Source organism: Homo sapiens, chromosome 17, assembly GCF_000001405.40.
Source record: "Homo sapiens chromosome 17, GRCh38.p14 Primary Assembly".
In the NCBI taxonomy this organism is placed as follows: domain Eukaryota; kingdom Metazoa; phylum Chordata; class Mammalia; order Primates; family Hominidae; genus Homo; species Homo sapiens.
Genome location: NC_000017.11, coordinates 3652428 through 3677162, shown reverse-complemented (window position 1 = coordinate 3677162; position 24735 = coordinate 3652428). Strand labels below are relative to the sequence as shown.

Genomic DNA, 24735 nt, shown 5'->3' with positions numbered 1-24735 from the left:
CCCCACCTGTCTTATGCCACGGCCACACCCACCTACCGCACCCTCAGCTGCTCTCTGCCTCCATCGCTGTAGGGCCTTGCTTTTTATTTATTTATTTTTTTGAAATAGAGTCTCGCTCTGTCACCCAGGCTGGAGTGCAGTGGCGTGATCTTGGCTTACTGGAACCTCCGCCTCCCAGGTTCAATCGATTCTCCTGTCTCAGCCTCCTAAGTAGCTGGGATTACAGGTGCCCACCACCATGCCCGGCTAATTTTTGTAGTTTTAGCAGAGATGGGGTTTCACCATGTTGGCCAGGCTGGTCTCCAACTCCTGACTTCAGGTGATCCGCCAGCCTTGGCCTCCCAAAGTGCTGGGATTACATGCGTGAGCCACCAAACCCGGCCAAGCCTTGCTATTTAAAGTGGGGTCCAGGGACCGGAGCCTGCTAGAAATGCAGGTCCCAGCTCCCCCGCCCCCCACCCAAATCAGAACCTGTGTTTCAACAAGATTCCAAGGTGATCTGTGTGCACAGTGACATTTAAGAAGCCCTGGTTCTCAGGGGAAAAAGGCCAGCTTTGGTGGATGGAGCCAATTTCTAGGTCAGACTTACACGCATGCTGCCTAGAGACCAAGAGGCTTCCTCCCCCACCCTGAAAGCAGCAGTATGCTCAGCTGATTTAAGTTACAATATTTTGACTGGGTAATACTTACATGATTCAAAGTTTAGAAGGTGCAAAGGATAGTCAGTGAAAAGCAACCTCCGTCCTCCCGGTTCCCCAGAGGCAGCCAGTGTTACTAATGCAGGAGGCTCCCTGATTTTGCCGAAAACTCGTGTGGTTTCTTACACATTCACTCAGGTAATGAACTTCTCCTGACGCTGGCGCTTAAGACCCAGTCTCCCCTGTCAAAAATGGACATGAAGTACGTTTCGATGTTGGGCTTGGGAGCTGACTAGCTCTCTTCTCCTACCCCGTTGTATGTGAGTTGTCTCCCCGTAAACCCAAGGTGAGAAACCTGGAGCTCAGCCCTCGCCATTGCCCGAGCCACCTGGCAGAAAAGTGCTCCAGCGCCGCCCTCACTCAACCAGTCCCAGTGCTGTCTGGGCGGCTCCCTGGAAGCATCCTCTTTGGAGGGGTTCTCTCTGCACACAGAAAGGCGGGGGTGGTGAGAGCATCCCTCCACTGAGGCTTTGGAGAGGGATGTCAGGGGCCCAGGGACATGGTCTCCAGAACAGGAACCCTCCTAGAGCAAAGCAACTTCCTCGCTTTGGGTTTTCTGGGAAGGGAACCTGCAACAAGCCTATACTGCTCTCTGATTAGAAAGTAAAGATCCAGGCTGGGCGCAGTGGCTCACACCTGTAATCCCAGCACTTTGGGAGGCCGAGGCGGGTGGATCACGAGGTCAGGAGTTCGAGACCAGCCTGGCCAATATGGCAAAACCCCATCTCTACTAAAAATACAAAAATTAGCCGGGCATGGTGTCCACATGCCTGTAGTCCCAGCTACTCGGGAGGCGGAGGCAGGAGAATCGCTTGAACCTGGGAGGCAGAGGTTGCAGTGAGCTGAGATCATACCACTGCACTCTGGCCTGGGCGACAGTGAGACTCAGTCTCAAAAAAAAAAAAAGAAAGTGAAGATCCAGGTGATCCACTTAGGTGTGTCACTTCTTCACTGACGCAAAGCCTTGCATTTTTATAACTTGGTGACTTTTAGGTTTGGGAGGAAGCAAAAAAGGCAGGGGTCATGGCTGCTGATTTTAACCAGACTTCGAAATGGCTGGCAGAAGCCACAGAACCTGAGGATAGTCATACTATTTGTTTCATATTGCAACAAAAATGTCTTCCTAGCCGGGCACGGTGGCTCACGCCTGTAATCCTAGCACTTTGGGAGGCCGAGGCGGGCAGATTGCCTGAGTTCAGGAGTTTGAGAACAGCCTGGGCAACATGGTGAAACCCTGTCTCTACTAAAATACAAAAAAATAGCTGGGCGTGGCGGCGTGCACTTGTAGTCCCAGCTACTCAGGAGGCTGAGGCAGGAGAATTGCTTGAACCCGGGAGACGGAGGTTGCAGTGATCCAAGATCGTGCCACTGCACTCCAGCCTGGGCGACGGAGCGAGACTCCGTCTCTAGAAAAAGGAAAATGTCTTCCTACAGTTAGTCATTCCTTCAGCCAGGAAATATTTATGGAGTCCCTGTGACATGTCAGGTGTTGGACCAGATGCTGCTGAGACAGAGATGAGCAACACAGACACGATCCCTGCCCCCGAGGGTTTCCAGTCTAATGGGGCATTGAACCCTTACCAAATGATCACACCCGTCATCACAGACGGAATGGGGTGTCGGAGAGGTCAGCGAGTAGTAGCCAGAGAAGGTTTCCCCAAGGAAGTGACCTATGAGTTGAAATCTGAAAGGTTATAGCAGCCTAACTAGGTGAGGGGGAAGCATTCCAGGTAAGAGAAGCACAGGTGTGAAGAGACGCTTTGATATGGGAAGGAGCAACGGAGAACCTGGGTGAAGGCGGCAGACAGGAGCCAGGTTTGGTGAGGCTTTTGTTTAATGAAGTTGACGGTCTTTAGCTGCAAGGTTGCCCCTTTAGACTTTGCTTCCTTAGAGGATTTAACCTCATTGTTTCTTCAAGGCCGGCCAAGCCTTCCAGTGACCTCTTGACTGCCCATCAGGGGCCCCGTGCTCAGAAGAGCCAGGGATCGCCTGACAGCTTCCAGACAGTGTCACACTCTTCCAGTTTCCTTGCTTTTTGCACAGCCCCCAGCTCCCACCATTTTTCTGCATAATCTTGGTGCAAGAGTGGGAGCTCATTACTCTGATGGAAACTGGCTTTTTTTTTTGTATTTTTTTTTTTTAATTTTTTGAGACGGAGTCTCGCTTTATCGCCCAGGCTGGATGGGAGTGCCGTGGCGCGATCTCGGCTCACTGCAAGCTCCGCCTCCCGGGTTCACGCCATTCCCCTGCCTGAGCCTCCCGAGTAGCTGGGACTACAGGCGCTCGCCTCGCCCGGCTAATTTTTTGTATTTTTAGTAGAGACGGGGTTTCACTGTGTTAATCAGGATGGTCTCGATCTCCTGACCTCGTGATCCGCCCACCTCGGCCTCCCAAAGTGCTGCGATTACAGGCATGGGCATGAGCCACCGCGCCTGGCCGGAAACTGGCTTTTAAATGGGGAGAAGTGAAGCATGAACTGTAGCTCTTTTCAGACTTGGGAAGGCCCTTCTCCCTGGGCACTGGTTGCCTCACTGGGAAGATGAGAGTGCCAGCCTCTCAAGAGCTCCTTTCTGTTCTGATATTCCAGGAGCACGTGAATTGCCTCTGCTTACGTTCAGGCCCTGTCCTAAACCCAGCCGTCTAGCACCCAGTGATCCCATGCCTTTGGGAATCCCAGGATGCTGCCCAACGGGAAATTTGTACATTGGGTGCTATCAATGCCACATCACAGGGACCAGCCATCACAGAGCAAAGTGACCTCCACGTCTGATGCTGGGGTCATCAGGACGGACCCATCATGGCTGTCTTTTTGCCCCACCCCCTGCCGTCAGTTCTTCCTTTCTCCGTGGCTGGCTTCCCGCACTAGGGAACGGGTTGTAAATGGGGAACATGACTTCCTTCCGGAGTCCTTGAGCACCTCAGCTAAGGACCGCAGTGCCCTGTAGAGTTCCTAGATTACCTCACTGGGAATAGCATTGTGCGTGTCCGGAAAAGGGCTCCATTTGGTTCCAGCCCACTCCCCTCTGCAAGTGCCGCAGCTTCCCTCAGAGCATACTCTCCAGTGGATCCAAGTACTCTCTCTCCTAAAGACACCACCTTCCTGCCAGCTGTTTGCCCTTAGGCCAGTACACAGAATTAAAGTGGGGGAGATGGCAGACGCTTTCTGGGACCTGCCCAAGATATGTATTCTCTGACACTCTTATTTGGTCATAAAACAATAAATGGTGTCAATTTCAAACGTGTCCTGATTTTTTTCTCTTCATGTTTACCCATCTTTTTTTTTGAGATGGAGTCTCGCTCTGTAGCCCAGGCTGGAGTGCAGTGGCACGACCTCGGCTCATTGCAGCTTCTGCCTCCCAGGCTCAAGTGATTCTTCTGCCTCAGCCTCCTGAGTAGCGGGGATTACAGGCGTGCACCACCATGCACGGCTAATTTTTTTTGTATTTTTAGTAGAGACGGGGTTTCACCATGTTGGTCAGGCTGGTCTTGAACTCCTGACCTTGTGATCCGCCCACCTCAGCCTCCCAAAGTACTGGGATTACAGGCAACAGCCACCGCACCTGGCCCATTTTTACCCGTATTTTAAAGGAAAATGTAAGAAGGCAAGATCAAAAGAGGCAGACACAAGAAACAATTAGTAAGCAATATATTCCTCATCTTGCAAAGAAATTCAAATTATGGAAATGCTTTAAATGAGCAACTATTAAAATTATAGACTAGGAAGGAACTGATAAAACTGGTACTTTTCATTCAAGTAGTGTAATCTAACACAACTCTGGAAGTAACTTGGAACCAAATTTTTATCCTCTGCTGTAGGAACTTATTAATTTTCTCAAAACAATATAAACGCAGACATTCATTGCAGTATTTTTTATAGTAGTGAACATTTCAAACTTACTGCCCAACAATAGGGAAATGGTTAAGTACATCAGCTCGCTTATCCCTCTTCCTTTTTTCTCCTCTCCCACCAGGCTGAGGACTCCCTCTGCTTCTCCCTTACACCAGGAATGAACCTTTCCTTCCCACTCAGAGGAGGTTCTGAGAGGACTGAGGTGGGCAAACCACTGAGGATCTTCAGTGGGGGCAGAGAAAGGGCTCACTGAGATGGGGGGCAACGCTATGGCCTCAGCTTCTCCTTGGCGTCGTGTGCATGTGTTCCTGAAGCCGAAACGGAATTTAACAGGTCTGGGTCCCAGATCCATTTCCATGACTGGCCATGGGCTATCTATGATCTGTCAAAAGGGGACTTGGATTCAAGCTCTCAGATCCCCTTCCAATCTAAAACAGATTCTTTTTTTAAAAAAAATCCAAATGTGATTACGTCACTTCAGACTAAAAACTTCCAAAGGCTTCCCCCATTTGCTCTGAGGATCAAGGCCAGGGCAAATGGGAGCTCACTGCAGCCTCAACCTCCTGGGCTCAAGTGATCTTGATCTTCCCATTCCAGCCTCCTGAGTAGCTGGACTACAGGCGCATGTCCCCACACCCATTACTGCCCTCCATGATCTGGTCTGGGTCTACCCTGTGGCCTCTTCTCTCACTCTCTAAATACAGTCACATTCCTTCCTGCCCAATGGCCTGGAAACATGCGCTTTCCTGAAGGTAACTCCTTCCCCACACTTGCCTATGTTATTCAACTTTTGGGTTTCAGATGTAATGTTATTTCCTCAGAGAAGACTTCCTTGACCTCCATATACCCCAACTTGGGCTAGGTCTGCTATGTCCTCTTCATAGTACTCACCATGATTTAAGTATTTCTGAAGTTAGGTGATGCTGGTTTCCCCAGTTAACCATAAATCCAATGAGCACCATCATTTTCATTACTGTAATTTCTTTTTTTTTTAGACAGGGTCTCGCTGTTGCCTAGGTTGGAGTGTAGTGGCAAAATCGTGGCTTACTGTGGCCTCAACCTCCCGGGCCCAGGTGATCCTGATCCTCCCACCTCAGCCTCCTGAGTAGCTGGGACTACAGGCACATGCCACCACATCTGGCTAATTAAATGTTTTTTTGTAGAGATGGGCATCTCACTATGTTGCCCAGGCTGGTCTTGATCTCCTGGGCTCAAGCCTTGGCCTCCCAAAGTGCTGAGATCACAGCAGGAGCCACTACACTCAGGCAATTACCGTCATTCTAATGCAATATTTATTCCTCAATTAAACAAATGCATTTTATTCTTTTTTTTTTGAGAGGGAGTTTCGCTCTTGTTGCCCAGGCCGGAGTGCAATGGCATGATCTCGGCTCACCGCAACCTCTGCCTCCCAGGTTCAAGAGATTCTCCTGCCTCAGCCTTCCTAGTAGCTGGGATTACAGGCCTGTGCCACCACACCCGGCTAATTTTGTATTTTTAGTAGAGATGGGGTTTCTCCATGTTGGTCAGGCTGGTCTCGAACTCCTGACCTCAGGTGATCTGCCCACCTCGGCCTCCCAAAGTGCTGGGATTACAGGCATGAGCCACCGTGCTCGGCCACAAATGCGTTTTATTCTAAAATAACCCTCCTGACAAGAAAGGATCATGGATTAACACATGGAGGTGTTTACACCCTAAACCTGCCCAAAGTTCAACTTCAATGTCCAAACAATTTTTGTGTTTTTTTTGAGATGGAATCTTGCTGTCACCCAGGCTGGAGTGCAGTGGTATGATCTTGGCTCACTGCAACCTCCACCTCCAGGGTTCAAGCGATTCTCCTACCTCAGCCACCCAAGTAGCTGGGATTACAGGTGCCCACCACCACGCCTGGCTAATTTTTGCATCTTATTTTTAGTAGAGATGGGGTTTCGCCATGTTGGCCAGGCTTGTCTCAAACTCCTGACCTCAGGTGATCTGCCTGCCGTCGGACTCCCAAAGTGCTAGGATTACAGGCGTGAGCCACTGTGCCCAGCCTAAATGTCCAAACAATGTTTAATCTTCCCTAGACATATTCTAAAAAATACAGCTTGACTTTATTTTTTCTTATGGAAAGGACTGTCACTAAATGAAATGGAACTAAAATGACACCATATATACCTGAAAGTAGTGGTTAGTGGGAGGGAACGCTGGCCTGTGAAAGGTACACCCAGCAAACATATCAAGAGCAAATTAAGAGACCTGCATTTGAATCCTGGCTCTGTCTCTTCCTAGCTGTATCTCCTCTGGGAGAAGTATTTAACCTCTCTGAGCCTCAGGTTCCTTACGAGGGAGCTAACAATAACATCTACCCTGTAAGGTTATTGCTAAAATTAAATGAGAGGATCGGTGTAGAGTAGAAGTCACAATGCCAGCATATAGGGAACTCTTTTTTTTTTTTTTTTCCCTGAGAGACAGACGGAGTCTTGCTCCATCACCCAGGCTGGAATGCAGTGGCACGATCTCGGCTCGCTGCAACCTCTGCCTCCAGGGTTCAAGCGATTCTCTTTCCTCAGCCTCCCGAGTACCTGGCATTGCAGGCGCGCGCCACCACACCCGGCTAATATTTATATTTTTAGTAGAGACGGAGTTTTGCCATGTTGGCCAGGTTGGTCTTGAACTCCTGACCTCAGGTGATCCGCCCACCTCGGCCTCCCAAAGTGCTGGGATTACAGACATGAGCCACCGTGCCCGGCCCAGGGAGCTCTTAATACATATTAACTGTTACTGCTTCTTAGGATGTTAATAAGTTCTTTCCTTATGTAGGCCCTTAGGGCCCGTTTCTGAATGGCCTATGTGTAAATACAAGGACTTAACACAAGGCTATGGCCCATTCCTTGCTCTCCAGGAGTCAAATCTCGGCGATTTTGCATCAGTGGCAGCCTAAGCGTTACAGCAGGAAAGAACTCCACAAAGTGTCTCACGCTTCATTTAATCTGAAGAATATTACAGGCTCTCCGTCTTCAGATATAAATTATTTATAACGTTACAGAACAAGCAGCGAATTCAACCACTTAAGAACTAAGGAAGTCTACATGGTGTTAATTGCTGGCCACAGTCCTCCCGATCTGGTTTTTTAAAAAAGTCCCCCGGGCCCCCATTTCAGTAGACGTGCACCATGCCGTAGAGGAACGTCCAGAACAGGACGTAGGTGAAGAGGCCCCCGATGAGGCCTCCTGTAAAGAGAGGTCTCCGTGATTTGAAATATTTGTTCCACCTCCTTCCCGCCTTGAGAATGAGGAGCAGGGAGAGCAGGACGGAGGCGAGCAGGTAGAAGATGAAGCCGTAGAGGCCGGTGAGGCCGAGGATGCCGGCCGTGGCCCCCGACAGCGCTGACACCGAGGTCCGGCAATAATCCAGGACGGCGGCGTTGCCCCGCACGGCCGCCTCGCTGATGAACGGCGGCCCTTCCCGCTTGGCCACCACCGCGGCCATCGCACCAGCCCGGGCTCGGCCTCTCGCTTTCTCGCGGAACAACGCGGAGCTGCGGAGAAAACCAAGTTACAAGTGGCGCCCGGAGCTCGGTGAGTTGGGTTCACGCCGCCCCCTCCCCCTGGAGCTTCCGAGACCTGGCACCAGTCCTGGGCCTCGGATCTTCCAAAGACGCCGAGGAGATTGAGGGTCCGGGCCGGCCGGGAGGTGGTGGCGCGTCTGCGTTCCCCGGCCACGGTGGCCCAGTTACCTGGAACACGGCGCCGGACACACTACTTAGCGTTCCCTCAGACGGGCAGTGGAAGAAATGCCCGCGGCGCCATCTTGCTCGGAAGACTGCCGGGAGGTCTCGGGCTGCGCACGCGCCCAGATCCCGCCCCGCCCTCCGCGCCTGCGCCGTGGGCGCCCCGGACACGCTCCGCCCTCTGCCCGCTTTTCTGCGCACGCGCAGGGACTTCCGAAAGCGGAGTGGCGCTCCGGCCAGTGATTGGCTGGAGGTTTGTTAACTATTCATGAGGGGGCGGGCCGAGCGGGGCGGCCTTTGTTAAGCAGCGAGGGCGCGACCGCGGGTACTCTGCTGCCGGCTTCTCGGAGCGGCGCTGGGCGACCAGAGCAGGGTCGAGATGTCCTACATCCCGGGCCAGCCGGTCACCGCCGTGGTGGTGAGTGCGCTTGCGCGGGCTCCTCCTCGTCTTGGCCTGACCCCACCTCGCAGAGCGGGAAACGGACACCCCAAGCAGGTTGACAGAGCATCGAACCCGGGGCTCCTGCGAACCGGCGGCAAGGGCTCGGGTCCCCGCTTTGCCGGAGCGGGCCGCAGTTCCCCCAGCCACGAAACAGGGATGGCCGGGACCCGAGAGCCTCCCGAGACCCTGGACAGAGCCCAGACTGCGTGCGCAGGGCGGGGAGGGCCACGGGGAAAGGCCTGGCTGCAGGAGCCTGGAAAAGCGCCCCCTTCCCGGGCCTCCGTGTCCCCAGACGGGGAGCTGCTGGGGGCGGGCGCCGATCCCGACGTCCATGAGTCGCAGCCTCTGGAATGAGGAAATGCTTCCTCCGCTGCAGCCTGCGCCGCCGCCCGGAGGGAGATCTGGGGGTGGGGCTCTCCCGAGCCTGCCGTGGCAGCCCCTGCCCCCTTCCTGTCCAGCCTTGCTCCTCCAACCCACTCGCCGCCTGGTCCAGGGTGGACGCTCGTATAGCTGCGATGAGCGTTTCCTCTTCGAACTTTTCCTGGGTCTCCAGCCCTTAAGGCAAAAAAGTCCAGGCCTCCCTCCTGGCACTTGAGTCCTGAGTAGACCCTCCGGGGGCTAGCCTAGGCCCCTGGCCGCCCTCTGGCTTGTTTTAGGTGCTGGGTGCTATTAGACTAGGCAGAGGGAGGAAGGAAGGCTGGGACGTTAGACTCAGACGCCGGTGTCACAGAGGGACACAACCCTATGACAGAGGTGGGGAGTCCCAGAGAGAAGTGCTCAGCCAGAAAAGACCACCTCAGGAAAGACTCAGGTCTCCTGCCTACCTCCCGACAGCGTTCAGAGAATGAGAAGAAATGCCTGCCCGGTGGGCAGTAGGTCAAGCGAAAGTCCCCGCCCTGGAGCCATAGGGACTGGGTGTGTTATCTCAGTTGGGTGTGCTGGAGAAGCTCCAGCAATCAGGTGGGTGGAGGCAGAGAAGCCACTGATAAAGGCGACAAGTGAGGCTGAGCTTAGAGCACTGGCTCAGGCCTGGGCCAGGAGGAAACATTGCTGGACCAGCTGACAGCTGTCCTAAGCTTCACCCTCCCTGCACCAGCTTGACTTTTTTTTTTTTTTTTTTTTTGAGACAGTCTTGCTCTGTCGCCCAGGCTGGAGTACAGTGGCGCGATCTCGGTTCATTGCAACCTCCGCCTCCTGGGTTCAAGCGATTCTCCTGCCTCAGCCTCCCGAGTAGCTGGGATTACAGGCATGCACCAGCATGCCCAGCTAATTTTTGTATTTTTAGTAGAACGGGGTTTCACCATGTTGGCCAGGCTTGTCTTGAACTCCTGACCTCTGGTGATCCACCTGCCTCAGCCTCCCAAAGTGCTGGGATTACAGGCGTGAGGCACCACACCCGGCCCAGCCTGGCTTTTTTAGATCCCTACCTGCCCCAGAGAGAAGGCACCAGGTTTGCTCTTTAGGTAGAAGGGGGGCAGGGACAGGTGAGGAGCTACAGCAAGCCACCTTCTGCGTGACCTCACCCAGCAAATCAGTGACAGCCCTGTCTCCCAACCCAAGGGCCTGTAATCTTCTGACCGTGCCGGCAGAGCAGGCCTGGAGGAGCTCAGTTTGGGGCATGAGGACCCAGGCACAGTAGGCCTCATGCTTCCTGCCCCCCTCCCTCACGCCATAACTGGTCCCAGGGCCTTCCCCAAAACTGCAGGCCCATGCCCCCTAATTCTGGTAACACCAGGAACGTGCCTGGACATGGTGTGTATGGTCTGGCCTCTCCCTCGAGTCTTGGATTGGGGATGGGTTTGGGCAGGCTCACTCCCCAGTCCCCACCCTCTCCCATGTAGAATCCTGAGAATATTAAAGACATTTAGGCCATTCTTCTGAACCCTGGCTCCATAGATCCATCTGCCTTCTGGACACCTGCCCCGCAGCTCCTGGCACTCCAACCTAACCTGCTCCTCCTCCTCCTGGGTCCCCATCTGAATAATGTGTGTTCAGCCAGGCACGGTGGCTGGGTGCTCCTCTTGACTCCTCTCCTCCATGAGTGGTCCCTAAGTCTGTAGATCTCCATTTTCAGGTAGCTCCATGTCCCCCGGCCTCTGCACCTTGCTTTTGTGAGATGTCCGTTCCTCTACTGATTACCTGAGTGGTCATTCTAGCAGCAAACCTGACCATGCCCTACCCTACTCCGTTCCTGAGAACTCCAGTGGGTTCAGGATCAAGGTCAGGCTACCCATCACCCCCTCAAAGCCTGGTGCAAATAATCCTCCCTTTGGGAAACTTCTTTAGGTCTAGTCTAGATTGTGGTCTTCTGCTTTTTTCTTTTCTCCTTCCTGTTAAAACTTGACTTTGGGAGTGATCTGGTCTGGCTCCCAGCATCTGCTGACTGGACGGCGCTTGCCAAGGGCTTTGAAAAGAACCTGGCACAGTTGGGGACCATAGCCCCAGAGCATGGTGGGAACACCCCAGAGCATGGTGGGAATGCCCCAGAACACTCGTTTCTGCACAAGAGCAGGGTCTGGGGCTTAGGGAGACACCCCTGCTCCCCTTCCAGGACGGGATCTGGCCCCAGCCTTACACTTTCAGCCTCATCTCGCCTCCCAGTTCTGTGTCCTGCACTGGACACTCCAGTCTCACGAACACGTATCCACGGCACCCTGTGCGCTGGTCCCCGTGGCCGGCAAGCCCTTCCTCTCCTTTCTTTTTTTTTTTTTTTTTTTTTTTGGAGCCCAGAGATCCTTTATTTTTTTTTGTTTAACACCTATTATGCCATGAATTCATAGGGAATAGGTTCCAGCAGCTCAGGCGCCTTCCCGTTGGTTCTCACAAAGTGTGCTTCCCTGGGTGGAGCAGGCTGGTGCTTTAGTTGAACCCAGGTACCTTTCTCTTTGGCTTCTTTCTTTTTCTGATCATTTTCCTTCACGCGTTCCAGGAAGCTATCTCGGCTCTTAGAGTGCTTTATGTGCTCAATACGCACATTAATTCTCTTGGCAAGAATCTTGCCCTTAACTTGTTTGTTTACAACAATGCCAACAGCATGCTGGGGAACATTGTAGACTCTTCCAGTTTTGCCATGGTAACCCTTGTGGGGCATTCCTTTTTGAACAGTACCCATTCCCTTGATGTCTACAGTATCACCTTTCTTATAGATTCGCATATATGTGGCCAAAGGAACATCTCCATGTTTTCTAAAAGGCCTAGAGAACATATATCCGGTGCCTCTCCTCTTTCCCTTTGTGTTCGTCATTTTGGCGAATTACTGGAAGATGGCGGTTCCGGCCGAAAGGAAACCCCTTCCTCTCCTTTCTATGCAAGTTTGATCTCTGCTTTTCCAGAGCACCTCCTGTGAGACGGGCTTCCCACCTACAGAAGCCACAGCACCTGGACTCTTGGGCCAGCAGGGGCTTCCACCACATGTTGACCAAGACTAGTGCCTAAGACTAACAGGGGAAGTGGGGACAGGTTGAGGACACAGGGCTGTGTGGGTGGATCAATGTGGCCAAGTTCTGAGTGCCAGCTCCTCAGCCTCCCAGGCTGGTGAGCAGCTGGATTCCTGCAGGGGCCTGGGACCCAGCCCCTTGTCATGGCTCTGAGGCTGCTGCTGGGAACACCCACCAGCCTAATTCTCCAACCACCCACTTCTCTCAACTGGCTTTTTTCTTTGCCAGCAAAGAGTTGAAATTCACAAGCTGCGTCAAGGTGAGAACTTAATCCTGGGTTTCAGCATTGGAGGTGGAATCGACCAGGATCCTTCCCAGAATCCCTTCTCTGAAGACAAGACGGACAAGGTGAGGGGGTCTGGGGTCCTGGGACCGCTCCATGGGGCACAGGGGCCTGAGATGGTGGGTCTCTGCTTCCTGGGCCTGCATGGAAGGAACAGACTTCATCTCTCAAACCATGCTCTCTAAGAAGGCATCGGAAGTGACCTAGTGAGAATAAGGACGGGTGGGGTGAGGAAGGGCTGCTCAGACAGAGCCCAGGAGGAGCAGGAGGCGGCCATCAGCAGGGCCGGTGCATGGTGGTGCAGCAACTCTGCCCCGGCTCTCTCAGAACAGTCCTCACTGACCATATGTGCTGGGAGAGGCTGGGTGCAGGGACAGAGGGACGGCTGAGAATGTGCCATGCTGGCTTCCGCTGTGTGATAAGGGGCCAGTCCAGTGACCACAGGGCTTGACTTGGGCTGCCCCTTTCCAGGGTATTTATGTCACACGGGTGTCTGAAGGAGGCCCTGCTGAAATCGCTGGGCTGCAGATTGGAGACAAGATCATGCAGGTAACAGGTGTCCCAAAGGAGGAGAAACAAGGTTTGGGCAAGCAGGTCTGAAGCACTTGGGGGTGGGGAGCTGCCCCAGCCTCCCAGCTGGGAGAGACTCACTGCAGCCAATTGGGAACCCATACTGGCATTGCCCCAGAGGACGCTGGCTTTCTCTCCTGTGTGTCTCAGCCACAGTGCTTGGTGTCTCCCAGCCCTGGGATGTTAGGCTGGGGGCCTACTTGAATGACCTGGGCCCCCAAAGCCCTCTGCTTCCAGATCCCAGAGGGCGGGGAGCTGAGGTGAGCCTGTGTTCTCTCCTGGGGCCAGGTGAACGGCTGGGACATGACCATGGTCACACACGACCAGGCCCGCAAGCGGCTCACCAAGCGCTCGGAGGAGGTGGTGCGTCTGCTGGTGACGCGGCAGTCGCTGCAGAAGGCCGTGCAGCAGTCCATGCTGTCCTAGCAGCCACCACCATCTGCGACTCCTGCCTGCCGCCTCTCTGTACAGTAACGCCACTTCCACACTCTGTCCCCATCTGGCTTCTGCTGACCGCTGGGCCCCAGCTCAGAAGGGCTATAGCTGGTCCCAGAGGCCTGGCCTGGCCTTCCTTCCCTTCTCCCATCCCTGGCCTGGGGCCTCTGGGACCGGCTTTCTCTCCTGGACACCGAGGATTGGAAATAAGGGCCTGGAGCTGAGTAGTAGCCAGTCTGCTGTGACCACAGGCTCAGGTCCGACCCTGCTGCTTGGCCACAGCAGTGGCTGGGCAAGTGGGAACCACTATCTCTTGGGAGCCCCCAAAAGCTGGGAAATGCTGGAGGAACCAGGCCTTTCCCGCTTTTGCCTGGCTGCAGGGTTCGGCTCCGCCCCTGCCCCCCAGCCCTCGTGTGTCCACACCGCAGTGCCTCTGCCCCTCGGGGGACTGGACACACATCCTGCCAGAGGCGCTACGAAGCTTTGCCCAGATGAAGCCAGGTGGGCTCCGCGTTCACTCCCACTCTCCCGAGGGGTGCTGGCCTCCCCAGGGTTTGCCTTCTTACGGATTTAGACGAGGTTCGAGGCTCACCTATCAGGGCAGCTCTCAGGATTGTCATTTTCCTCTTTGCCTGTGGGTTTAACTTTTGTATTTTTTTAATCACAAGTTTGATACAAAATGTTTTTATCGTACTCTTTGGAGATGCCCATTCTACTTTTGAATTTAGCTTTTACTAATTCGCATCTGGAAGCTCAGCAAGTGCACAAGCCTTACTTTGGTTACCGTGGAAACCACTGCCGCCCCTCCCCGATGTGGTGCGCTCAATAAAAATGCTGGAATTCACAGGGGGCTTTGCTGAGGCATGGGCTGGGATATCGGGGTGGGGGTGGCGGTGGGATATTGGGGCCAGAGCTGTGGTTTTAATGATGGCCCCATCCCCCACTGTTCTGGGACAAAGCTCAACTACTCCCAGGCCCACCTGCCTGAAAGCCCGGGGCTGGTGGAGCCGCAGCAGCTGCACTGCGCCTGACCAGAACCACATCTGTGGGAGTGTCTGGGAGCACTGGGGTGGGACCCTGGGGTGCGTGTGCTTTCTTGGGTGTTACTGTGAAGCCCCTACTTGCTCCCAACCTCCTTTTTGCAACCTAGCCTCAGCTCCCACCTGGGAGGGGCCGTAGGGACACCCAGAGGTGCCTGGGAGAGACCCCTGCCTATAAGACTCCCTGCCTATAAGGGCACTCCGTGTATCCCAGCGAGGGACACAACCCCACGTGTTGCTGGGGGCCGTGATCTGGCCAGATGGGGGTGAGTCAGAGAGCACCTGACTACCTGCGTACCACCTCTGGGAAGGTGTTAGCACTCCTGGACCTACCTAGCACTGCCAAATCAGATTTTAAAGAAAAGTCAATAATTTTTTTTTTTTTTTGAGATGGAGTTTCGTTCTTGTTGCCCAGGCTGGAGTGCAATGGCGTGATCTTCGCTCACTGCAACCTCCGCCTCCTGGGTTCAAGTAATTCTCCTGCCTCAGCCAACCAAGTAGCTGGGATTACAGGTGCCCGCCACCATGCCCAGCTAATTTTTGTATCTTTAGTAGAGATGGGGTTTTGCAATGTTGGCTAGGCTGGTCTCGAACTCCTGATGTCAGGTGATCCATCTGCCTTGGCCTCCCAAAGTGCTGGGATTACAGGCGTGAGCCACCGCACTCAGCCGGAAAAGTCAATCATTTGAAATCTCTGATTTTTAAAGTAGGGCACCCAGTAACACATTTACTGGGTGTTGCAAGTGAAACAGGTCTGTGGACCCCGTCAGGCCAAAGTCTGCTCTGCAGAAACAAGACCTGACATTCTTTGACGTTTGTTACAACTAGATAGAGGAAGCGTCTGGAGAATAAGACCCCCACTGCCCCCGCTCCCAGTGCTGGTGTGCCCTTCAGAACCTCATCCACCCCGGCTCACATCCAGATTGAGTGGCGTGCCCTGGTAACCGTGAAGACACGGAGCCTGGGAGACTGACCTGGCCCTGGGCGGGTAGGCGTCTCGCGCTACCCAAGAGGGCTCCCCAGTGAAGTGTGGGGTCAGCACGCAGCGCTCTCGGGTCAGTGACCTTCACAACCTTATGCGCTTCCTTACACGAGGGGAGCAGGGCACCTGGCTCTGAAGGCCAGCACACCTGCCTTCTGTATCGAGCACACAGAGTGCAGAAAGGAAGCGAGTAGGTTTTAATTCAAGATACAGGCCCCTCGCGTTGATCTCGTAGAAGGAAACTCAGTGGACTGACAAGCTCAAGTCATGTATGAGGCACGTCCTGGGACCCCCACCCCTCCTGCCATAGGAAGGACAGCTTTGGGCAGAGGGAAGGAGGTTTGAGATCAGGGTTGGGCCCATACAGATTGTGTGAGGTGGTCTCAAGTACAAATACTTATCTGAGGCTCCTGAACAGGCCAGAAATTGGTGAGTCTCAAGTAGGTGTCTGGGGAAAGAGAGGGAAGGGGCCTGCCCTCGCTCCAGGGGAGCTGGTCGCCGTTTGGCAGGCCTAACAGACCTCTAAGGCACAGACTGGTAGCAGGAGAGAGCTATGTCCTGTACTCCAGATGCTGGGTAAGGAGCAGCTGGATGTGCTCAGATGGGGCTAATCTGAGAAGGTGGAGGTAGGAGAGAGGGCAGAAGAGAGTAAGCCACTTCCAAACGTCCCTCCAAAAAATCTGAAAGGAGTTACTATGCTAATGCGCTGGGCATGAATCCAATTCAGAACCAATCTGGTGGGCCCCTCATGGCTCAGAAATACTCTGGGTAGGGCTGGCTGTTACTGCAGTCACGGACGCTGAGTTATGTACAGAGAGTACGTCAGGAAAGTGGCCTTCAGAGAAAGAGCCCCATGGCCTAACCCCAAAGTCCTAGCCCGTCCACCAGCACCTCTGAGTTCACTGGCCACGGCACCGGGCTGCTTGATCTCTGGGAATGCAGCGGTGGCAGCAAAGTGCCCTTGGCTCACCCGGCTGCAAGGTCAGCCCTTCAAGCTGCTTGCAGAAACGCTGGTAGTTTGGGGCAAGGCCTTCGGCTGCAAGCTTGGTGCCCAGTCCTGCCTGAGACGGCTGCCAGAGCCTGTGCGCGCTGCCTGAAGCCTTAAAGAAAAGAGATGGCGGTGTCAAGGCGACGGTGCCACGTGCCTGGCCGGGGAGGCCCAGGAGGGGCCCGGACGAAGGCAGGCTATTGAATGGCCTCTGGCCCCAGGAGCAGAGTGGTCTCCTCTGTCCGCACACTGAGCCAGCCCTGTGTGCCAGGGCCCAACCGCTTCTCCGGCCTTCGCTGGGTGAGGCCTTCCCCAGCAGGGCACGAGGCCAGAGGCTGGGTACACTGGGTCCCTGGGTGCTAGTTCAGCTGGTCATACCCCGGTCTCTTTCTGTACAAACAGAAGTGCTGGATGAAGAAGACGACGTCGAAGACGATGGAGAAGACCCCGAGTCCAAACTTGGTTGGGTCTCCGAAGATCAGCGTCCACTGGTCTGTTAGCAGCCGGGGGACAGAAGCTGGTGTTAGGTTGGCAGCTCCTGAGGCAGCTGGAGCTTGTGGGGTGGTGGGCGGTGGGGGTCCCAGAAAACCACAAAGCCTCCAGCTACGAAGGCCCCTAGGTGGGTCTCTCCTTGGGGGCTGGATTGGCTTGGATCCCAGGTGGGGGTGGAGCCCTGGCTGGAAGGTCCCGGGAAGGCTGGCCCCGCCCGATGCCCCAGCCGCAGGGTGGCCAGCAGCCCGCTGGCTGACTCACCGTTGTTGTAGGACTGGAGGAACATCTGCAGGAGGCTGAAGCTGCCCCCGGTGAAGTCCAGGAGCACGTTGCCAATGCTCCAGCCCTCAGTGCTTTTGTAGTAAAAGTTCATGTAGGCCTGGGCCAGACAGACGGACAGACAGACGGAGGGCGGTGAGGGCTGGGCGGCTGCCTCATGCGCCTCGTGACTGCCCCTCCAAACAAAAGCGGTTCTCATTCCTCCCACTGGGGCCTTGGCTCCAAGGACACGGTGACCTTTGGGCTATGACAGGCCTCAGCCAAGGAACAGTTTGGGTGGTCCTGGGGGTAGGCGTCTCATCTGCATGTACAGCAAGCAAAGGCCCCGCACCCCCCACACCTCACAGCTCCAGCAGAGGCGGGGCCGATGCGGCCTTCCCCGTCTCCTCCACATCCCTGGGGCCAAGGCCCTGTGCTAGTTTCCCTGTAGCTATGATTCTTCTTCTCACCTCCAGGCAAGGCTGTCCCCAAACTCAGCCTGGACTTCATGTGCTTAGGGACTGGTGGGAGTGGGACTTCTGGTTTGGAATCCTGGCTCCATCACCGGAGCCTGCTGTCTTGGGCAAGTGACAGTTCTCCTAGCCTTGGTTTCCCCGTCTGTAGAGCGGGGTTAACGCCCCCCACAGGCCTGGCCGGGGCTTCCTGGGTCTGGTTGGGGGGGCGGGTCTGCGGGGATGCGCCCCAGTCTGACTGCCTGTGCCCCACGTCCTCCCATGCTGCAGAGCCCTGTGGGTCCTCTGACTGCTGTGACCTTTCCTTCCCCCCGTGAGGCAGGTCCTGGCCTCTCTGGTGGCCTCCCAGTGAGCCTCTAGTCAGTCCCTGTCTGTGTCCCGGCTCACCCTCTTCCGTACTTGCTGCTGCCCCTCCAGCAGTTCCAAACGTCTCCAACCTGGGCTCCTCCATCCCCGGTTTCTTGGCCCCAATCCCTCCCACCCTCAGGGACTGGGGCCCACTTCCCCAAACCTTCCCCTCCTCGGAAGCCCCCCCCAGCTCCCGGGACCTGACCCCAGCTTCCCAGCTTCAACATGCTCAACACTGTTCAACCAGCCACATCCCCTCACTGCCGCCCCGTGTCCCGCCCCAGCCTCTGTGCAGGCTGGCCTGGCCCGGAACGCCCGGGCTCCTTGGCCACAGAACTTAGTCCTGCTCAGCCTAAGAGTCCAGTCCTGCCTCCCAGTCAGAACGCTGGCCCTCCTGAGCTCACAGAACACGAGGCTCCCAGGGCTGGGGGCACTGGAACAAGGCTTCTCCCTTTGGGAATGGGGTGAGTTAAATGAGGCCCTAGGTCCCCGGGTGCAGCAACTTCAGCCCTGACCCTGTCCCAGGCTGTGGGGCAAGATGTGCTGGACCCTGAGTCCCCGGATCTGAAGAGGACCGGCTATGCTCATAGGACGGGCTGAGCTCTGCGCGGGAAGGGGCTCCCTCCTCCCACCTCACCTCTCCAGAGTGTCCTGCTGTGGAAATGGAGGCAGTGGTGAGGGCAGAGCCAAAGGCATCAGGAAAGGCTGGGGTGTGGAGAAGGGGAACCACCCGCACACCTGATGCTTAGGGGAGCGTGGGGTCCAAGGGGCCTCCGCTAGCGATCTCCTGTGATTCCAGCCCCGGGGGAAGAGCGGCAGGCTGGCCTCCCCACCGCCCCGCTCCCGCTGGGCTCCCGGGCTCCCTGTGGCTTTCCGTCCTGTTTCCTCACGCCGGCAGGAGCTGCCCCACCGGAGCAGGGCCTGGGCCATGTAGCTCTCACCTCTCCTGCCACCGGCCATGTGAACAGGGCCCTGGAGGTACCTGTGGAAAATACTTGACCAGCGTGACTGCGAGCTTGATGTAGGAGAAGCAGAAGAGAAACTGCAGCCACGTGGTCACTCCCACTGCAGCCACGATCATGGTGACAAATGCGAAGAGCCACGCGAGCACCAGGAAGCCGATGGCAGGCCAGGACACGCGCTGGCCACCGCGCTGGGGGCGAGAGGAGGGCAGAGATGTGGACCCACACAGAGGCCACGCCGGGGCTGAGCAAGGACGGCCCCGGATAGGGCGGGCTTAGAGAGGGGCACGGAGGCTGGACCCTGGCCTTGAAGGAGCCCCTGCAAGGTGGGGGCTGCACTGGGGTTGTGGCAGGGGAACATGTGGACCACAGAAAGCATCACACCTGGGCTGGTGCTGGACATCCCCAGCACCAACCACACCTTCTCATCGCCAGGGCCTCCTGTTCAGGCTGCTTGGACTCTCAAGCTCTGTCTGCTTTGTTCCTACTTGGCAGAACTGGGCGCCTCTCAGCACTCACTTGGAGACGTGGGGTCGGAACTCTGGTGGCCTGGTGCCTCTCCCAGCCAGGTACTGACTCGTCCCACGACCCGGCAGCAGCCTGAGGATCTCAGGAATCTGTCCCCTCGCCTTGCCTTTCCCTGAACACGGGCCCAATGTGGGCCACCTTCACTCTCGCTTCACACCAAAAGCTAAGAAAGCCTAGAAGGTTCATACGGGTGGGGCCAGACAGCCCCCAGCTGGCCTTACAGTGTGAAGGGAACTCCCTGAGAGAAGGGAAAGCAAAGCTGTCATATCAGGGGTCCCCGGACCCAGCCTTGGTGGGGCCCTGCCCTGCCGACACCCATGGCTTCCAGCAACAAAGCTGAATACAGGTGTCTCCGCCTGCACGCGGGCCCCCTCCTGGCACCCTGAAGCCCAGCTGCACCCGCCTGCTCAGGGTCCCTCTCAAATGCCCCTTGGCCTCTGTGACCTGACCCCTCCAGGAGCCCACCCTGGCCCCTCCCCTCCTCCATAGGAACTTCACTCATCCTTGGAGCCCAACCAAGCGTCTTCCTCTGCCCTCCTCCCTTCTGTGCCCTCCTCCCTCCTCCCTTCTGTGCCCTCCTCCCTCCTCCCTGGCAGGGCTCAGGGCCTTGCACTCCTCCATGAGCTGTCTGTGCTCCTCTGTGCACGGCTCTCAGCCTGAGTCCAGGCACTGCCTCTCCCTGAGTCCCTCACCCCAGACTTGGGGGGCTCTGAGGGCCTGGACTCATGGGTGTCTTCTATGCCCAGCACAGGACCTGGATGAATGAACACACACCCTTCCTTTCCCAGGCTCTGCCGTGTCTTCTGTCAAAGGTGAGGTGGGGTGGCGGGTGTTGGCTGGGGTGGCCTGTGGGGGGCCAGGGCTGGTCTCACCTCATACAGGCAGCACTGCACGATGATGATCAGCGTGAGGACAACCGCGTGCAGGCTGAAGAAGACGTCGTTGCTGTTCACGGGGTTCACTCCGTTGGGGTATTTGAGGAGAAACTGCTCCTGTTTGGTGGGTGGGAGAAGCTGGGTGGTGAGGGGCAGCCGGGCCACCACGCCATGTGGGCAGAGATGTAGGGCAGGCAAGGCCGTACCTTGATGTAGGGCACCCAGAGGAGGCCGATGTTGAATACACTGTAGGCCACGAAGCCCGTCAGGTTCAGAGCCACGAAGTCGAAGCTCAGACCAATGACACTGCAGGGGGTGGAGGGACAAGACAGGGCAGGGGGTGAAGACTGGCAGGGGTGGAGGGACAGGGCAGAGGGTGAGGACTGGCGGGGGTGGAGGGGCAGGGCAGAGGGTGAGGACTGGCGGGGGTGGAGGGGCAGGGCAGGGTGGGGGGTAAGGACTGGCGAGGGGTGGTGGGGCAGGGCAGGGGGTGAGGACTGGCAGGGGTGGAGGGGCAGGGCAGGGGTGAGGACCCCAGGGGGTGAGGACTGGTGGGGGGTGGAGGGGCAGGGCAGTGGGTAAGGACTGGCGGGGGTGGAGGGGCATGGCAGGGGGTGAGGGCTGGCGGGGGTGGAAGGGCATGGCAGGGCCAGGGGCGAGGACTGGCGAGGGGTGGAGGGGCAGGGCAGGGGGTGAGGGCTGGCGGGGGTGGAAGGGCATGGCAGGGCCAGGGGTGAGGACTGGCACCACTGTGGGGAATGGGAGGGACAGGGCTCCCAGGCCACGGGGAAGGAGGACTCGGCCCTTCTCAAGCAGGGTACTGTCCTTAGGTCCCTCCTGCTACCACCACGGATGCCACCTAATCCCTGCCCTCTTGAAGAGCTACTTCCCTCCTCCCTTCCTCCCCTGCCCAAGATCTCCCTGCCCCTCAAGTCCTGGCTCCAGAGGGGAGTCAGGAGGCCCCCGGAAGAAAGCGTCTCCCTCCCGGCTCTCTGCTTGCCATCACCCAGGAGGCCGACGTGGCCAGGGTGACTGCAGGACAGCTTGTGTCTTTGCAAGTCAAGGTGGGACAGCTTCGTCCCAAAGACCGAGACTACAGGACTTGACGCCGCAATCCTCCAGGGTCGGATGGACCCAGCGCAGAGGAGATTCACGATGGACTGCCCTCCCTCCCCCGCCCATTCTCCACTAAACTAAGGAGCCCCTTTTCCCTGTTTTCCTGCTTTCCCAGGGAGGGGCTGAGCTGGGCAAGGGATGAAACGCCCAGCACGGGAATCCGACCCAGGCTCTCCGAGCCTTCGCACTGGGACAACTTTCTGGAAAGGGTAGGCAGACAGAAGGGTAGAGGGGACGTTGGAGGCTGCGCTATCGGCAGCCTTGCTGGAACGCCCTGCTCCTAGGGGCCCCGAGAGAGCCTGCACATACGGCCCAGGGGGTTACCTTTTCCGCCTCCAATTCATGATCACCTGAGGGTAGAAGGAGATGGACCAGGCCACAAAGTAGATCCAGCCAATCACCTGGTTTATGATGCTAATGGCGCTGCTGCGGATCACAAGAAAGCGTATCCTCGGGCTGGAAAGGAGTTTGGGGACCGGGATGAGCTGAGGCTGGGCTTCTGAAGGAGACTCCCACGTGCCCAGCACGGCCCCCTTCTTGTCACGTGAGGCCCGCACACCCTGAGGCCAGCCTACCCGGTCTGATTGGAGTGATTTCCATGTAGATAAACAGTAAGTTGTCCAACATTTTGAGATGTCACTTGAAAAGAGGAGTTTGTCACTCCAGGAGGCACCACAACCTGTTAGGAAGACTGAGGTTCAATCCGATGCCACGTACAGTTACCGAGGACCCCGCTGGCATCTAGCTCTATGCAACACGCTAGGGAACGGAGGGACGCACCACCCGCAGCCTCACCTTCCAAGAGCTTACTAAGCAAAAGGAGAGACGCTGCGCCCACCAGCCAACTTGAACCTCCTGTTCGCCATGCTGCCCAGGCTGGTCTCGAACTCCTGAGCTCAAGCAATCTACCCGCCTCAGCCTCCCAAAGTGCTGGGATTATAGATGTGAGCCACCGCGCCTGGCCTGAGTGAGACTTTCCTTTTTTTTTTTTTTTTTGAGACGGAGTCTCGCTCTGTCACCCAGGCTGGAGTGTAGTGGAGTGATCTCGGCTCACTGCAACCTCTGCCTCCCGAGTTCAAGCGGTTCTCCTGCCTTAGGCTCCTGAGTCCCGAGTACCTGGGATTACAGGTGTGCGCCACCATGCCCAGCTAATTTTTGAATTTTTAGTAGAGATGGACTTTCACTATGTTGGCCAGGCTGGTCTCGAACTCCTGACCTCAGGTGATCCGCCCACCTCGGCCTCCCAAAGTGCTGGGATTACAGGCATGAGCCACCATACCTGGCCTGGGTGAGACTTTCTGAGCAGAGCTATGGACTTGTCCTCATGCCCTCCCCTGGCTTATCTCTGAGGGAAGGAGGGATGGCTCTCGTCCTCTTACTGGACATGTCACCTTGGGCAAGTTATTCAAGCTCTGATCTCAGTTTGCTCATCTGTAAAACGAGTTAACAAAAGTGTCTACCCTTCAGGGCTGCCATGAATGACAGGATGTTCAGAAAGCTGACAGCACAGAGCCTGGTGCATGGCAAACGGGGCCACTGCTATACTACAATACCATCACTTCCACTTCCATCATCACTGGGCTCCTCCTTGTCCACAAAACCATGTGTGCCCTGTGCCAGCCTGGCTGCCAAGTGACAAAGCAGAGGAGGCACATACATGAGGCACTTGGCAAAGAGGGCATTTTCACCCTTGCTGCTCTGCAATATTTGGCAAATGCTCTGCTTCAAGGAAAGTACCCGGAGGCCTGCCTACAACATCTGATCTCCCAAGCATGCCTGCTGAGACTTTATTTTTCCCCCGAGATGGAGTTTTGCTCTTGTTGCCCAGGCTGGAGTGCAATGGCGCGATCTCAGCTCACTGCAAACTCCTCCTCCTGGGTTCAAGCGATTCTCCCGCCTCAGCCTCCCGAGTAGCTGGAATTATAGGCGTGTGCCACCACGTCTGGCTAATTTTTGTATTTTTAGTAGAGACGGGGTTTCACCATGTTGGTCAGCCTGGTCTCAAACTCCCAGCCTCAAGTGATCCACCCACCTTGGCCTCCCAAAGTGCTGGGATTACAGGTGTGAGCCACCGCACCCAGTGCTTCCTGAGACTCTTAAATCCTGCTGCAGTGATGGGGAGCAGGATGATATCCTTACTGAACCCAGCTGTCTCCCCTGGTCCCCAGCTTCTGTGCTCCCTGGATAATACTCCACCCATATTGCAGGTACCGTGAGGATCTGGCTCATTAGACTGCAGTGGTTTCCTATTATTATATATGTTTTGAGATGGAATCTCACTCTGTTGCCAGTCTGGAATGCAGTGGCATGATCTTGGCTCACTGCAATCTCCGCCCCCAGGGTTCAAGTGATTCTCCTGCCTCAGCCTCCTGAGTAGTTGGGATTACAGGTGCCCACAACCATACCCAGCTAATTTTTTGTATTTTTCGTAGAGATGGGGTTTCGCCATGTTGGCCAGGCTGGTCTCGATCTTCTGACCTCAGGTGATCCACCCGCTTCGGCCTCCCAAAGTGGTGGGATTACAGGCGTGAGCCACCATGCCCGGCCTTCCGAGAGGCAGGTCTTGCTCTGTAGCTCAGGCTGTAGTGCAGTGGTGCAACTATAGCTCACTGATCACTCCAACTCCTGGGCTCAAGCGATCCTCCCGCCTCAGCCTCCTGAGTAGCTGGGACTACAGGCGCTCTACCACATCCTTCAGTGGCTTCTTAATGAGGACCCTTGAAGCACTGCCTTCTTGTTCTTAGCATCAGAAATCAGGGGCTTTGGCAGGACAACTGAAATGGTATAGCGGCTGCAGCAAAGCCTGGAGTCCAACTTACGTCCACGTCTCACAAGGTACATCTTCATAACATGTGCCACTCCTGGCTCTTTTATTTTCCTGCCACTCACTTTTTCTTATTTTTAACAGATATTCCTTGCAACGTTGCTTGCATATTTGTTAAGTGGCCACTAAATCCCTTCTGGAACTAGGCAGGGAGAAAATCAGTCGATTGACCGATACAAGACAGAATGAAGTGATAATCGCTACCTTTCACTGAGTGCTTTCTATGTGCCAGGGACAATCCTAGACATTTTTTATTTTTTTAGATGGAGTTTTGCTCATGTCACCCAGGCTGGAGTGCAATGGCATGATTTCGGCTCGCTGCAACCTCTGCCTCCCGGGTTCAAGTGATTTTCCTGCCTCAGCCTCCTAAGTAGCTGGGATTACAGGTACTTGCCACCACGCTTGGCTAATTTTTGTATTTTTAG

The 24735-nt window shown here is 55.8% G+C and overlaps 4 protein-coding genes, 2 long non-coding RNA genes and 1 pseudogene across 27 annotated transcripts in view, besides 6 other annotated features; 4 read left to right on the top strand and 3 right to left on the bottom strand.

The window, feature by feature from the left end:
• The window catches only part of P2RX5 (purinergic receptor P2X 5), a 50609-nt gene extending 46673 nt beyond the window's left edge, over window positions 1-3936 (top strand). For all 8 annotated transcript variants that reach the window (NM_001425082.1, NM_001425084.1, NM_001425085.1 and 5 more), the window contains one exon: window positions 3286-3936. In NM_001425082.1, the coding sequence (NP_001412011.1) occupies window positions 3286-3295 (10 nt within the window). In that variant the 3' untranslated portion in view covers window positions 3296-3936. The remainder of the gene's footprint in view (window positions 1-3285) is intronic.
• The window catches only part of P2RX5-TAX1BP3 (P2RX5-TAX1BP3 readthrough (NMD candidate)), a 33512-nt gene extending 19242 nt beyond the window's left edge, over window positions 1-14270 (top strand). Inside the window, exons 12-15 of the long non-coding RNA NR_037928.1 lie at window positions 4670-8105; window positions 12365-12484; window positions 12891-12968; window positions 13278-14270. This is a non-coding gene — a long non-coding RNA (P2RX5-TAX1BP3 readthrough (NMD candidate)). The remainder of the gene's footprint in view (window positions 1-4669; window positions 8106-12364; window positions 12485-12890; window positions 12969-13277) is intronic.
• Window positions 7135-7665: an enhancer, noted in NCBI's record as "NANOG-H3K27ac-H3K4me1 hESC enhancer chr17:3572792-3573322 (GRCh37/hg19 assembly coordinates)". NCBI's record gives its function as "activates a minimal SCP1, AML or CMV promoter by ChIP-STARR-seq in naive H9 embryonic stem cells {active_cell/tissue: H9 hESC(naive)}" and the evidence as "EXISTENCE:reporter gene assay evidence [ECO:0000049][PMID:30033119]".
• EMC6 (ER membrane protein complex subunit 6) lies at window positions 7498-8351 on the bottom strand. 2 transcript variants are annotated; one of them, NM_001014764.3, is made up of 2 exons: window positions 8151-8351; window positions 7498-8065 (listed from the first exon to the last, which is right to left on the bottom strand). In NM_001014764.3, the coding sequence occupies exon 2, from the start codon at window positions 8014-8016 to the stop codon at window positions 7684-7686; it is 333 nt and encodes a 110-aa protein (NP_001014764.1). In that variant the 5' UTR covers window positions 8017-8065; window positions 8151-8351; the 3' UTR covers window positions 7498-7683. The 2 variants fall into 2 exon arrangements, with proteins under 2 accessions (NP_001014764.1, NP_112588.1); NM_031298.4 differs by having other exon boundaries at window positions 8264-8351.
• Window positions 7666-8196: an enhancer, noted in NCBI's record as "NANOG-H3K27ac-H3K4me1 hESC enhancer chr17:3572261-3572791 (GRCh37/hg19 assembly coordinates)". NCBI's record gives its function as "activates a minimal SCP1, AML or CMV promoter by ChIP-STARR-seq in primed H9 embryonic stem cells {active_cell/tissue: H9 hESC(primed)}" and the evidence as "EXISTENCE:reporter gene assay evidence [ECO:0000049][PMID:30033119]".
• Window positions 8298-8637: a silencer, noted in NCBI's record as "silent region_8017". NCBI's record gives its function as "represses an Ori minimal core promoter by ATAC-STARR-seq in GM12878 lymphoblastoid cells {active_cell/tissue: GM12878}" and the evidence as "EXISTENCE:reporter gene assay evidence [ECO:0000049][PMID:35858748]".
• TAX1BP3 (Tax1 binding protein 3) lies at window positions 8585-14268 on the top strand. Of its 2 annotated transcripts, NM_014604.4 has the most exons (4): window positions 8585-8675; window positions 12365-12484; window positions 12891-12968; window positions 13278-14268. In NM_014604.4, exons 1-4 carry the CDS (start codon window positions 8637-8639, stop codon window positions 13413-13415), a joined length of 375 nt encoding a protein of 124 aa, NP_055419.1. In that variant the 5' UTR covers window positions 8585-8636; the 3' UTR covers window positions 13416-14268. The 2 variants fall into 2 exon arrangements, with proteins under 2 accessions (NP_055419.1, NP_001191627.1); NM_001204698.2 differs by lacking the exon at window positions 12891-12968.
• Window positions 8729-9259: an enhancer, noted in NCBI's record as "H3K27ac hESC enhancer chr17:3571198-3571728 (GRCh37/hg19 assembly coordinates)". NCBI's record gives its function as "activates a minimal SCP1, AML or CMV promoter by ChIP-STARR-seq in primed H9 embryonic stem cells {active_cell/tissue: H9 hESC(primed)}" and the evidence as "EXISTENCE:reporter gene assay evidence [ECO:0000049][PMID:30033119]".
• Window positions 9260-9791: an enhancer, noted in NCBI's record as "H3K27ac-H3K4me1 hESC enhancer chr17:3570666-3571197 (GRCh37/hg19 assembly coordinates)". NCBI's record gives its function as "activates a minimal SCP1, AML or CMV promoter by ChIP-STARR-seq in primed H9 embryonic stem cells {active_cell/tissue: H9 hESC(primed)}" and the evidence as "EXISTENCE:reporter gene assay evidence [ECO:0000049][PMID:30033119]".
• RPL21P125 (ribosomal protein L21 pseudogene 125) lies at window positions 11423-11986 on the bottom strand (annotated as a pseudogene).
• The window catches only part of CTNS (cystinosin, lysosomal cystine transporter), a 26645-nt gene continuing 15969 nt past the window's right edge, over window positions 14060-24735 (bottom strand). For 5 of the 12 annotated variants that reach the window (NM_001031681.3, XM_006721463.4, XM_011523691.3 and 2 more), the window contains 8 exons: window positions 22062-22165; window positions 21811-21942; window positions 20577-20676; window positions 20368-20487; window positions 18988-19158; window positions 17188-17305; window positions 16813-16927; window positions 14060-16546 (listed from right to left, as the gene is read on the bottom strand). In NM_001031681.3, the coding sequence (NP_001026851.2) occupies window positions 16429-16546; window positions 16813-16927; window positions 17188-17305; window positions 18988-19158; window positions 20368-20487; window positions 20577-20676; window positions 21811-21942; window positions 22062-22165 (978 nt within the window). In that variant the 3' untranslated portion in view covers window positions 14060-16428. The other 7 variants (NM_004937.3, NM_001374493.1, NM_001374495.1 and 4 more) reach the window with 3 other exon arrangements.
• Window positions 22108-22826: an enhancer, noted in NCBI's record as "H3K4me1 hESC enhancer chr17:3557631-3558349 (GRCh37/hg19 assembly coordinates)". NCBI's record gives its function as "activates a minimal SCP1, AML or CMV promoter by ChIP-STARR-seq in naive H9 embryonic stem cells {active_cell/tissue: H9 hESC(naive)}" and the evidence as "EXISTENCE:reporter gene assay evidence [ECO:0000049][PMID:30033119]".
• LOC105371493 (uncharacterized) overlaps window positions 22160-24735 on the top strand; it is a 16507-nt gene continuing 13931 nt past the window's right edge. Inside the window, exons 1-2 of one of the 2 annotated variants that reach the window (XR_007065579.1) lie at window positions 22160-23693; window positions 24574-24696. This is a non-coding gene — a long non-coding RNA (uncharacterized LOC105371493). Of the gene's footprint in view, window positions 24697-24735 lie in introns of both variants that reach the window. The other variant, XR_001752759.2, reaches the window with a different exon arrangement.

Coding starts and splice junctions, on each gene's coding strand:
- EMC6 (NM_001014764.3), bottom strand. CDS start 8,016: ATGGCCGCGGTGGTGGCCAAGCGGGAAGGGCCGCCGTTCATCAGCGAG.
- TAX1BP3 (NM_014604.4), top strand. CDS start 8,637: ATGTCCTACATCCCGGGCCAGCCGGTCACCGCCGTGGTG. Junction 8,676..12,364: donor AGCCGGTCACCGCCGTGGTG/GTGAGTGCGCTT, acceptor TTTCTTTGCCAG/CAAAGAGTTGAAATTCACAA. Junction 12,485..12,890: donor CTGAAGACAAGACGGACAAG/GTGAGGGGGTCT, acceptor GCCCCTTTCCAG/GGTATTTATGTCACACGGGT.